The sequence below is a fragment of the Homo sapiens genome, chromosome 5, assembly GCF_000001405.40.
Source record: "Homo sapiens chromosome 5, GRCh38.p14 Primary Assembly".
In the NCBI taxonomy this organism is placed as follows: domain Eukaryota; kingdom Metazoa; phylum Chordata; class Mammalia; order Primates; family Hominidae; genus Homo; species Homo sapiens.
The window spans coordinates 128,541,009-128,555,184 of NC_000005.10; the positions used below are offsets into that span (position 1 = coordinate 128,541,009).

Here is a 14,176-nt window from a genome sequence, read left to right on the forward strand (position 1 = left end):
GCTACTGAATTGCACGCTTAAAAATGATTAAAATGGTAAATTTTATGTTATGTCTATTTTTTACAATATTTTTTAAATGAAAGCTGTATAATATTGTATGCTACTTTTTAGGGGTATGAGTGTGTTATAGATTTAACAACAAACAAGAAGTATAAACTAAATCTAATAAAAAATGGTTATCTGTAGAGAAAGGGGAGACTATGAGGAAAGAAACAATGGTGGAAGCTAAACCTTTCTAAATAAACTTAGTTTTATAGTTCTGGCTTTGGAACTATGTTCCAAAGACCTAGAAATAGTGACAACCCAAAAACCATAAGGTCATTGTGACCAGATTGTGGTTCCTAAATACCATTTCTAAATTAAAGGAATCAGGGTTCCTTGGGTGAGTGGCAGATTCTAAGTCTGGGAAAGGAAATGCATAAAGTGAATCTGGACTATCTGTCTTGTCATGCCTGAAAGCAAGAAATTATCTGACTATTAAGGTCATGTCAAAAGGAAACCTGAGCTAAGTTGAAAGAGATCTTGCTGGTTAAGGATGGGGAAACTTGAGCATCAAAAAGAAAAAAGAAATGACAGCAAAAGATTGAAATACATGAAGTGTGTCAGTATTCAAGATTTCCGAATGATACTCCAAACAAAAATTAGTTGGCCACTTTTGGAGGTTGTTAGGGCACAGCTCACTATTCTAAACGCATCGATAAATAAAATTATTAACCAGTTATTCTTCCTTTGCTAGAAAGACCCAGAGAAAGTATTTCTTTTGAAAAAAAAAAAAAACCACAGTTGTAAATGCAGGAATGATGGAATTAGAAAAATCACTACTTGTAAACCCTAATAAAATAATGGACCTAGGCAACGGTTTTTAACAACTGCTAAAACCATTAGGTAAGAAGTGTTCAACTTGTGGCCATTTTTCCTCAGGGTATATTTGGCAGTAATTGGAGACATTTTTTATTGTCACAACAAGACAGTGTGTGGGAGTGGTGATGAGAGTATCAGAGATGCTGCTAAACATTCTACGATGTACAGGCCAGTCTCCCATAGCAAAGCATTATCTGGTCCAAAATACAAATTTACTTGGGAAGCCGTGCATCAAAAAGTCAATTGGGAACTTTTTAGTGAATGTGTCAAGCTGTTACCACCAGAACCTACTGATTAATTATTAACTTATGAAAAGTAAGACAACCAGACATTATGTTTTTATTTTTATGGTGCAATAGGAGGTACACAGACCACCTATGAAATATCTTTGTCAAAAAAACTGAGCCTGAATGTAACCATATCTCTACATTTAACTCCCAGTTTCCAAGAACAATAGAGGACCATGAAACATATTAAATGATACCTTGAGAATATAGGTAACCAGATCTAGAATGGGATATACCACAAGACCAAGTTCTTCAAATAAATGACATCAGTAGAGAAGAGGGAGGGGAACTGTTATGGCACAACCACCAAAAGCAATGCTTGCCCCTTATCTGGGATTTTGATATGAATGTTAGTGAAAAATAACATTTTTGATGCTATCATCCAGTCTAGTAAGTCTTATTTATATGGTTGCAGCTACAGTCAATATATAACTGCAACTGCGTGAGACACCCCAAGTAAGAACTACCCAGGCAAACTCTTCTGAGTTCCTGACCCATAAAAGGCTAAGGCAAAATAAATTTTTTAAACCTATAACTTTAGGGGTAATTTGTTATGTAGTGATAGAACACTGAACTGAACACTGGTTACTAGATATTAAATATTTATTTTTAATTTTGGGAGATGTGACAATGGAATCATTGTTATATTTTTAATATACTGGCTAATGTTATACTTACTAAAGTCTTTATAGATGAAATGATAGGATGCCTGGGTTTGATTCAAAATACTGCAAGAAGAACAAAGGCAGAGTGGATTAGATGTACTTTATTCCTCTTGGCAAGTATACTTAACTAAACATAAATAAATATATGTGGAGAGAGAGAGCATGCACACATAAGAAGACTGTAAATGGTAGGGAGAAGAAGGCAGACTAGTTACCCTGCTAGTGACCTTGGAACCTGAGGAATGACATGATGGTGGTTTTCCTGAATTGTCTTTTGCTTTTTGTATCCCAGAATGAGTGCTAGGAAATCTGGCAATTTGGAAATGCCATTGGCAACAGACCAAAGAAAGCCTCGAAAGAAAGCCTGCCCTCTCTAGCCAAAAGACAAGAAAGGGATAGCCTAGAAAGACAAAACACTTTTAGACAATAACTGCCCTAACCAAACCACAGAAAAAAACTGTAGTCACCTTTACCAACAATGGCCAAGTAAGGAGCCTAGACTTTCATCCTTACCAGGGTGTAGCAAGGTATCCCTCCCCTTCTCCTGGATAGTGTCAGAGAAAGCCAAGTGGAAAGCTCAGACTTTCATCCCCCTGCACAGTCGTGAGCCACCTTCTCCCCATGGTGTCAGTGGAGAAGCTGGACTTCCACCTCCACCTAACAGTAATGAGATGCCCCTGTCTGCTGGGATGGTGTCAGAAGATACCTAGTAGATGCTCAGGAATCTTCTCACTGCCCAGCAGTAATGAGGCCATCCCACCACCACCAAGGTGTCATGGAATATCATGGGAAACTACATTGGGAGCAGTAATGAAACACCACTGTCCTAGCCAGAGTGGTACAGAAGAGCTTGAGTGGTGACCCTGTACTGTCACCCCTGCCCAGTAATAAATAACAAGTTACTCCTCCCCTCAAGAGTGTCAACAGAGGCTGCATGTAGATCTTGGACTTCCACCGTCATCTAGCAGTAATGAGGCATCCCTTGCCCTGTCTGCCCACCATTGCAGTATCAGAGGAGGCTGCTAAAACAAAGAATTTAAATATAACCCAAAGTCTCACAAAATAAAGTAAAAAATGTCCAAGATTCATATACACCTACTATTTACCAGCAATTTTTTTTAATTCCAAGATTCAACTGAAAATCATTTATCATTGAAAGAACCAGGAAGATCTTAACTTAAATGAGAAAAGAAAATCAATACACATCAACACTGAGATGACACAGATGTTAGAATTGTCTGACAATATTCTTAAAGCAACTACAATAAAAATGCATCAGTGGGCCATTGTAAAACTCTTGAAACAGATGATAAAAGAAAGAAAGTAGAAAGCATCAGCACAGAAATAGAAGACATAAAGAAGAACCAAATGAAAATTTTAGAATTTAAAAATAAAACAAAATTTTAAAACTTAATAGATGGGTTTCACAGCAAAATTCAGAGAGCAGAGGAAAGAATCAGTGAACTTGAAGATAGAAAAATAGAAATCACTCAAACTGAACAATGAAGAGTATATACACTGAAAAATCAAACAGCCTTAGGGAGCTATGAGACTATAATAAAATATGTAACATTTGATTATCTGAATTTCAAAGGAAGAGAAAGAGGATAAAGCTGCTGAAAAATTACTTGGAGAATAAATAATGGTGAAACATTTTCAAATTTTGGGCTTTGCATAAATATACAGATTCAATAAGCCTAATAAGTCCTAAACAGAATAAACCCAAAGGCATTCACATCAAGACTCATCATAGTCCAAGTTTTGAAAATTAAAGGCAAAGAAAAAAATCATGAAAGCAGCGAAAGAAAGGACACTTTACTTGTCCTTTCTGGAAAAAAACAATTCAAATGATAGCAGATTTTACATCAAAAAGTGTGGAAGCCAGAAGGGAGTGACACCCATTTCTTCAGTGCTGAAAGAAAGTAAAGAACTGTCAACCAAGAATTCTATACCCAGTGGAAATATCCTTCAGAAATAAAGGACACATGAAGACCCTTTTAAATGAAGGAAAACAAGAATGTGTCTCCATCAGACCCACCCTAAAATAATGGCTAAAGGAAATTATTTAATCAGAAATGAAATATTAACCAAAGGATTCTTGAAACAAGAAGGAAGAAAGAACAAAAAGAGGGAATATATGGAAAAGTATGAGTAATTACAATAAATTTTATCTCTTGATTTTTCTAAATATGGTTCATACAAAAATTATAACATTGTCTCAGGTATATATAAGAAATATTTAAGAAAATTATTTTGTAAACAGAGGAAGGGAAAGACACATAAAAGGTGGTAAGGTTTCTATACTGGTAAAATGATAATACTAGTAGACTGTGATAAGTTAAAGGGGTAGCACAGGGAGACCTTTGTGATGAGGAAATAGTTCTCTAACCACTTGGTGGTGCTTACCCAAATCTGTGCATGTGAAAAATGGAATAGAATTATACATACACATTGTGCCAGTGTCAATTTTGTGGTTTTTATATTGTACATAAGAAATAACCATTGGGAGAAACTAGGTAAAGGGTAAACAGGATCTCTCTGTGCTATCTGTGCAATTCTCTGTGAATCTATGCTTTTTAAAACATTTAAAATATTAAGGATAAAACCTTTTTAAAGAAACTTGACACATTCTTACCCATCTTCTGTCAATGTAGAGATATTTCATCCCATGCGATTGAAAAAAGGAGGTTAATAGATGAAATGGCAAAATGTTGATAATTATTAAAACTGTATATACAACCCTCTATCAGTAATTTAAAGATGCAGCAGATGGAAAACCAATGAGAGCATAGTTGAACTGAGCACCACCACCGATCAGCTGGATCTAGTTGACATTCATAGTATATTTCATTTAATAACTACAGAATACACATTCTTCTCAAGCTCTCATGGAATATTCACCCAGATAGACCACAACTTTGCCCATAAAACACACCTTAACAAACATCTAAGAGAATAGAAATCATACAAAGTATGCTCTCAGATCACAATAGAATTAAATTAGGAACAAAAGACAGAATAGAGCTGGAAAAATCCCTAACTATCTGGAGACTAAATAATAAACTTCTAAATAACAAACATGCCAAAAAAGAAGTCTCAAGAGAAATTAAAGAATATTTTAAACTAAATAAAAATGAAAATAGAGCTTATTAAAATTTTCAGGGCCAGGTGCGGTGGCTCATGCCTGTAATCCCAACAGTTTGGGAGGCTGAGGTGGGCAGACCAAGAGATCTGTGATCAAGAGATCGAGACCATCCTGGACAACATGGTGAAACCCCATCTCTACTAAAAAATACATAAATTAGCTGGATGTGGACGTGGTGGCATGTGCCTGTAGTCCCAGCTATTCAGGAGGCTGAGGCAGGAGTATCACTTGAACCCAGGAGGCAGAGGTTGCAGTGGGCCAAGATTGTGCCACTGCACTCCAGCCCGGTGTCAGAGTGAAACTCATCTCAAAATAAATAAATAAAATAAAATAAAATAAAATAAAATTTTCAGGATGCAGAGAAAGCAGTGCTTTGAGGAGCATTTATAACACTGAATGCATATATTAGCAAAGAAGGAATATCTAACATCGATGATCTAAGCTTCCACATTAGGAAACAAAAAAAGAAAAGCAAATTAATACAAGATAGATTGAAGAAAAGAAATAAAAATTACAGCAGACATTAAGAAATTGAAAACAGGAAAGCAATAGAGAATATCAACAGACAAAATATTGGTTATTTGTTTTTGTTTTTAAGTGAAAGCAAATATATTAGAGAAATAAAGAAACAAAAGAATAGCTGCTCCATAGAAAGAGCAGCACAGGATGGGCTGCTTAACTAGTATAGTTATGGTTGTTTCTTGATTATTTGCTAAACAAGGGGTGGATTGTTCATGTGTTGTTCGAGAAAGGGATGGGGAGTTCCCAGAACTGAGGGTTCTTCCCCTTTTCAGACCATATAAGGTAACTTCAAATGCCATGGCATTTGTAAACCATCATTGTGCTGGTGGGAGTATCCTTTAGCATGCAAATGCATTATAATTGGCATATAATGAGTAGTGAGGACAATCAGAGTTCGCTTTTCTCCTCCTTTTGGTTTTGATGGGTTTTGGCTGGCTTCTTTACCGCATCCTGTTTTACCAGCTGGGTCTTTGTGACTTGTATCTTGTGAAACCAGTTCCACCAACCTCTTATCTCGTCCTGTGACAAAGAATGCCTAACCTCCTGGGGATGCAACCCAGCAAGTCTCAGCCTCATTTTATCCAGTCCCTATTCAGAATGGAGTTGCTCTGATTCAAACACCTCTGACATATTTCCCCTCTCCCTTCTAAAAGGGACCCTTAATCCTAAAAGGTTCATCTTCTGTAACTTCTTCAGGCTGAATGGGTGATGATATTCCTGTCTAAGTATTAGGGTCTCTTGTATTCAGGATAGAGAAGCATTCAGTGAGAAAGCATCGGTATGGTGAGGGCCATTTATAACTCAGAATCCCAACAAAAGGTGATATAAGGCCAGGTGCAGTGGCTCACACCTGTAATTTCAGCACTTTGGGAGGCTGAGGCAGGCAGATTGCTTGAACTCAGGAGTTCAAGACCAATCTGGGCAACATAGCAAAACTCTGTCTGTATAAAAAATACAAAAATTAGCTGTGCATGGTGGTGTGGAAGGATCATTTGAGCCCAGAAGGCAGTGAGCTGTTATTGCACCACTGCACTCCTGCCTGGGTGACAGCCAGACCCTGTCCCCGCAACCACCCCAAAAAGATATAAATAATTTCTAAATTCTGGAGAAATAAAGTAGAAAGAAATATGCTCCAGATTTTGTTTACAGGAGTATATTTTACTCAATTCCTAAAAGCTGTAAATAGCTCAAAAGAAAAGTTTTCTTGACTACAAATTCAGCCAATTGGTGCTGCAGTCTATTTCCTTTGAGTTGGGGGTCTCTTCAGTATGGTCCCTTCATGGTTTGCCATGGAAGATGTTGCCAGAAAGAGGTCCAGATCTAGACCCCAAGAGAGCATTCTTGGATCTCGCAGAAGAAAAAATTCATGTGGAGTCCATGGAGTAAAGTGAAACAAGTTTGATAGAGAATTAAAGAAAAAAATGAATGGCTACTCCATAGACAGAGCAGCCTGGTTAGTTGAAAAGATTAATAAAATTGATAAACCTCTAGCCAAGCTAACCAAAGGAAAAAAAGAGAACACACAAATTACTAATATTATAAATAAAATAGAACCATCATACTTATCTTGTGGGCATTGAAAATATAATAAAGGAATAGTATGAACAATTCTATGCTACAAATGTGATAACTAAAATGAAATGGACTAGTGACTTGAAAGACACCGACTATCAGAACTCACACTAGGATGAATAATTTGAACAGGCCTATATCCATTAAAAATAGAGTTAATAATTTCCAAAAAAGAAAGTACCAGGCTCAGATGGTTTCAGTGGCATTTTCTACTAATTCACTGGGGTTTTACAAAACATTTAAGGAACCAATGGTATCAATTTCTGCAACATCTTCCAGAATATCTAAGCAGAGCAAACACTTCCTAATTCATTCTATGAGGCCAGCATTCCCCTAATATCAAAACCAGAGATATTACAAGAAGAGAAAATTATGGGCCAATATCTCTCATGAACATAGATGCAAAAACCCTCAAAACAGTAGCAAATTAAACAATGTATGAAAGGAAACATACTCTGTGACCTATGAGCATGTATGCCACGTATGAAAGATTAGTTAAGCATTTAAAAATTGATAAATGTAATCCATCATATCAATAGGCTACAGAAAACAATTATGATTACATCAGTCCAATACTCATTGATAATAAAAAACATTTGACAACATCCAATACCCATTCATAATAAAAACTATGAGCAAACTAGGAATAGAGAAGAACTTCCTCAACATGATAAAGAATATCTACAAAAAACAACTAGAGCTAACATCATACTTAATGGTGAGAAACTGAACGCTTTCTCACCATTTATTTGGGAGTAAGACAAGGATGTACCCTCTCACCACTCCTATTCTACATTTTACTAAAATAAGACAAGAATAAGAAATATATTTATACAGATTGATAAGGAAGAAACAGAACTATCTATGTTTGCAAATGACATGATCGTCTATGTAGAAAATCCTAAAGACCAGCAAGAAACTCCTGGAACTAATAAGCAATTATAGTAAGTTTGCAGGATACAATATAGAATGTCAATGTGGAAAAGTCAATTGCCTTCCTATCTATTACCAACGAAAAATTAATTAGCAAAAAACATACTTAGATGCAAACCAAACAAAATATGTACAACATCTATATGAAGAAAACTACAAAACTTTGAAGAGAGAGATGAAAGAATATTCAAGTAAGTGGAGAAATATTTCCTGCCCATTGATAGGGACACTAAATATGGTTAAGACGTCAGTTACTTTCTACTTAGCTGTAGATTCACCCCAGTGACAATTAAAATCTTAGCAAGTTATTTTGTAGATATTGACATACTGATTCTAAGGTTTCTGGGTTTCTGTGAAGAGGGAAATGACTCAGAATAGCCAACAGAACACTGAAGAAGAGTAGAGACAGAGGACTGACACTACTCAACTTCAAGACTTAGTAGAAAAGGTACAGTAATCAAGACAATGTGATATCGGATACGTGGGTGTTTATTATGTTTCTTATTCTAATTTTGTGTGTATTTGAAGGCTTTCATAATGAATTTTTTTTTCTTAATGAAAAGTTTTTGAGACTCTTCTTCAACTGTGTTTTTCTCCATGTTTTCTCCCTTCTCCTAATAACCACAAACTTTATGCATGCTCAAGGATTATCAATTTCACTGATTCTCTGCTTCCCAAATCAGTAATTTCTGCTTAAGTCATCATTACTTTATTCCTTCTGTTTTCTTTGAAAACACATGGTTTAATTTTCTAGCACTTCTAACTTTTTGAGTCTACTACTTAATTTACTTGTTTAGCTTCCTTTTTAATTCCTTAAGAGTATAAAACTATGAATTGTTCTTTGAGCACAACTTTAGATAAGCCCTTAATTGTTTGGTAAGTGATGTGTTTATTATCTTTATTTTATAATTTTTTTAATTTTCATTTTGAATTCAAAGTATTTAAGAAAAAGATATAGAATTTTCCTATGATTATATATTTTTCTTTTTAGAGTATTAATTTCTACTTCTATTGAAATATATCCAGAGATCATGATCTGTTCTTCATGTATTTGTGTATATATTGGAAATTATCTGTTTATTTATATGGCATTATGTATGTTTGGGGTCTTGAAAAGAGGTTATATACTCTTTCGTGTTAAAGAGTTTGAGACATATCTGTTAGCTGAAGTATAATAATTATATCATTTACATCTTCTGTGTGCTTATTTTATTGTGTAGCTGATCTGTCATGAACCTAGAGGCAAGTTAAATTCCACTGCAATACCATATTTCGGTCTATTTCTTCTTGTTTTGTTTGCAGCATATGTGTTCTATCTTTTACTATTTATGTACATATTTATGGCAACTACAATCTCATAGTAAATTGTATATCTTATACTCACAAAATGGACTATCTTGTAAAATATTTGCTTTGGATTTAGTCTTTGTGATATTGATATTTCTACCTCAAGTTTTTTTTTGTTACTATTTCCTTGTTATGTCTTTTTTTCTTCTATACAATCTGAGTCTTTTAGCTCTGTATGGTTCTTGTATATACAACATATTTTCATCTATAAAATATTATTTTTTTACCCAATCTGGTCATCTTTCTGTGAATATACCCTATTTACATTAGGTGTCAAAAAATATAATTGGTTTTAGTTTTTTCATCCAATGTTATGGGTTTTTTTGTTTTAAATACTTCGTTTTTTATTTTTGTATTTTATTCATGAAATTTCTTACCATTACTTTGGTTCAGTGTATGCAGTGTGTGCTTTCCTTCTTATAATTTGGAAGGCTTATATCTTCTTTTTACACGTTGCTATGGAAACATTTGTCAGTTGATATATTTTATCTAATCACTACTTCTTGCTATAGCAGCTTTAGTTTTTGTTTATGTCTCCTACGAAAGATTAGATAATTAGCTCACTACACTTTCTTCTACCTCTTTTCTCCTTCTCACCTTCTGAATTTCTTAGCTGCAGTTTTATTTTTAGTTCTGGTGATTTCCCTTATGACATACAAACAATATACAACTTAGACTACTATTTGTTGATTTATTCATCTTGAAATGGTTATTGATTTTTCATTAAGAAAGGTAAGAAAATGGGGCTGCATGGCCAAGATGGCTGACTAGAAGCAGCTATGGTGTGTGGCTTTCATGGAGAGGAACAAAAAGTACAAGTAAATACAGCATCTTCAACTGCAACATCTAGGTACTCACACTAGGACTAATCAAGGAAATAACTTGACCCATGGAGAATGGAGAAAAGCAAGGCAAAACAGCAGTCTGCCTGGAAGCAACACAGAGCCAATGAAACCTCCTCTGTCCAGGGAAGCAGTGAGTGTAGGTGCAACCTCAGGAAACTACACTTCTCCCACAGATCTTTGCAACTCTTGGGTCAGAAGATCCCCTTGTGAACCAACTCCACCAGGTCCTTCATTCAGACACACAGAGCTACATGCAGTTTTGGCAGAGCAGCTGCTTTACATACTCTGGCTCCAGGCTTCCCAGCAAAAGTAACTGCAACTCCAGCAAAGTGGGAAGTTACAATTCTGTACATACCCCTAGGAAAGCAGCTGATTCCAGGGGGCCAAGCAGCAATGGTCTGTGGGCCCCACTTCCATGACACCTCACAGGATAGGACTCACTGGCTTGGAATTCCTGCCGGCCACCAGCAACAGTGTTGTGCCTACATGGAATGCAGTTTCTGGGGGTAGAGTGGACTGCCATCTTTGCTGTTTGAGTGAGTTAAACATTCCAGCCTGTGGTCTTGGGAGAGTCCAAACCATCTGAGCTGAAGTGGTACACCAGCAGAGCACAGCTGCTCCACTAAAGTGTGACCAGACTGCTTCTTTAAGTGGGTCTTTGATCTTGTTCCTCCTCACTAGGTGGAACCTCCCAAACGAAGCCTCCAACCACCTCCCACTGGTGTTCTCTGGCCAGCAGAGGTTTCAGTTCTCCATGGGATCGAGTTCCCGGTGGGGAGGGATAGGCCACCATCTTTGCTGTTTGGGCAGCTCAGCCATTCTAGCCCACGGTGTTTGGAGAGCCCAAGCCACCTGAGCAGAAGTGGTATCCGAGCACAGCACAGCTTCTCTACAAAAGCATGGCCAGACTGCTTCTTTAAGCGTGTCCACAATCCCGTTACTCATGACTAGGGTGAGACCTCCCAACCAGCATCTCCACCCACTTCCTATTGGTGCGTTCAGGCTGGCAACATGTCTGTACCTCCCTGGGATAGAGCTCTCAGAGGAAGCAGCAGGCTGCCATCTTTGCTCTTTTGCAGCCTTCACTGGTGATACCTCCAGGTACTGGAAAATCTGAGCTGACTAGGTACTGGAGCAGACCCTCAGCAAACTGTAGCAGCCCCACTGAAAAGTGGCCAGACTGTTAAAAGAAAAAAATAAAATAAAGCCATGCAAAGGTCCACAACCTAAAGGTTGAAGGTAGATAAGCCCACAAAGATGAGAAAGAGTCAGCACAAAAGAGCTGAAAACTCAAGAAACCAGAGTGCCTTTTTTTCCTCCAAATGACTGCATCTATCTCTCCAGCAAGGGTTCAGAACTGGGCTGAGGTTGAGAGGGCTGAGATAACAGAATTAGATTCAAATAAAAATAACCTTCACTGAGCTAAAGAAGCATGTCATAACCCAGTGTAAAGAAGCTAAAAATCATGATATAACATTGCAGGAGCTGAGAGACAATATAGCCAGTATAGAAAAGAATGTAACCAGCTTGATAGAGCTGAAGAACACCATACAAGAATTTCATAATGCAATCTCAAGTATTAATAGCCTAATAGACCAAGCGGAGGAAAGAATTTCAGAGCTTGAAGACTGTCTTTCTGAAATAAGACAGGTAGACAAGAATAGAGAAAAAATAGTAAAAAGGAATGAGCAAAACCTCTGAGAAATATGGGACTGTGTAAAGAGACCAGATCTATGACTAACTGGTGTACCTAAAAGAGATGGGGAGAATGGAATCAATTTGGAAAACATATTTCAGGATATCATCCATGAGAACTTCTCCAACTTGGATAGAAAGACCAACATTCAAAATCAGAAAATGTAGAGAACCCCAGTAAGATACTCCACAGGAAGATCATTCCCAAGACACATAATCGTCAGATTCTCCAAGGTCAAAATCAAAGAAAATATGTTAAAATCAAAGAAAATATGTTAAAAGGCAGCCAGAGAGAAAGGCCCAGTTACCTAGGAAGGGAAGTTCATCAGACTAATAGTCAACCTCTCAGCAGAAACCCTAAAAGTCAGAAGAGATTGGGAACCAATATTCAACATTCTTAAAAAATTCCAACCCAGAATTTCATATCTGGACAAACTAAGCTTCATAAGCAAAGGAGAAATAAGAGAAGTAAATGCTGAGGGAGTTAATTACCACCAGATCTGCCTTACAAGAGCTGCTGAAGGAAGTACTAAATATGGAAAGGAAAGACTGTTACCAGCCACTACAAAAACACACTAAAGGCTGGGCGTGGTGGCTCATGCCTATAATCCCAGCATTTTGGGAGGCCAAGGTGGGTAGATCATTGAGGTTAGGAGTTCTAGGCCAGCCTGACCAACATGGTGAAACCCCATCTCTACTAAAAATACAAAAAATTAGCCAGGTATGGTGGCCCGTACCTGTAATCCCAGCTACTTGGGAGGCTGAGGCAGGAGAATCACTTGAACCTGGGAAGCAGAGGTTGCAGTGAGCCCAGATCATGCCACTGCACTCCAGCCTGGGTGACAGAGCAAGACTCCATCTCAAAAAACAAAGAAAAAGAAAAAGAAAAAAATCATTGAAGTACACAGACCATTGACACTATAAAGCAACCACATAAACAAGCCTGCAAAATAAGCAGCTAACATCATGATTACAGGATCAAATCCACACATATCAATACTAACCTCAAATGTAAATGGGCTAAATGCCCCCATTAAAAGACTCAAGAGTGGCAAGCTGGATAAAGAACCAAGACCCATTGCTATGCTGTCTTCAAGAGACCCATCTCACAGGCAGTGACACACATAAACTCAAAATAAAGGGATGGAGAAAAATTTACCAAGCAAATAGAAAACAGAACAAAGCAGGATGGCAATCCTAATTTCAAACAAGCAGTCTTTAAACCAACAAAGATCAAAGAAAACAAAGAAGGGTATTACATAATAGTAAAGGGTTCAATTCAATAAGAAGACCTAACTTTCTAAAATATGTATGCACCCAACACAGGAGCACTCAGTTTCATAAAGCAAGTTTTTAGAGACCTTCAAAGAGACTTAGATTGCCACACAATAATAGTGGGACCCTTCAACACCTCACTGGCAGTATTAGACAGATCACTGAGGCAGAAAATTAACAAAGATATTTAGGACCTGAACTCAGCACTGGACCAAATGGACCTGATAGATATCTACAGAACTCTCCACCCCAAAACAATGAAATATACATTCTTCTCCTCACCACATGGCACTTACTCTGAAGTCAATCACGTAATTGGAAGTAAAACACTCCTCAGCAAATGCAAAAGAATTGAAATGTTAACAAACAGTCTCTCAGACCATAGAACTATCAAATTAGAATTCCAGACTAAGAAATTCAACAGCCCTTCATGCTAAAAACTCTCAATAAATTAAGTATTGATGGGACTTATCTCAAAATAATAAGAGCTATTTATGACAAACCCACAGCCAATATCATACTGAATGGGCAAAAACTGGAAGCATTCCCTTTGAAAACTGGCACAAGACAGGGATGCCCTCTCTCACCACTCCTATTCAACATAGTGTTGGAAGTTCTGGTCAGGGCAATCAGGCAGAAGAAAGAAATAAAGGGTATTCAATTAGGAAAGGAGGAAGTCAAATTGTCCCTGTTTGCAGATGACATGACTGTATATTTAGAAAACCCCATCGTCTCAGCCCAAAATCTCCTTAAGCTGATAAGCAACTTCAGCAAAGTCTCAGGATACAAAATCAATGTACAAAAATCACAAGCATTCCTATACACCAATAACAGACAAACAGAGAGCCAAATCATGAGTGAACTCCCATTCGCAATGGCTTCAAAGAGAATAAAATACCTAGGAATCCAACTTACAAGGGGTGTGAAGGACCTCTTCAAGGAGAACTACAAACCACTGCTCAACAAAATAAAAGAGGACACAAACAAATGGAAGAACATTCCATGCTCATGGGTAGGAAGAATCAATAT

The 14,176-nt window shown here is 37.1% G+C and overlaps 1 annotated feature.

Moving 5' to 3' along the window:
• Positions 5,828–6,122: a silencer, noted in NCBI's record as "tiled region #657; HepG2 Repressive non-DNase unmatched - State 24:Quies, and K562 Repressive non-DNase unmatched - State 24:Quies". NCBI's record gives its function as "represses a minimal TATA promoter and a strong SV40 promoter by Sharpr-MPRA in HepG2 and K562 cells {active_cell/tissue: HepG2 | K562}" and the evidence as "EXISTENCE:reporter gene assay evidence [ECO:0000049][PMID:27701403]".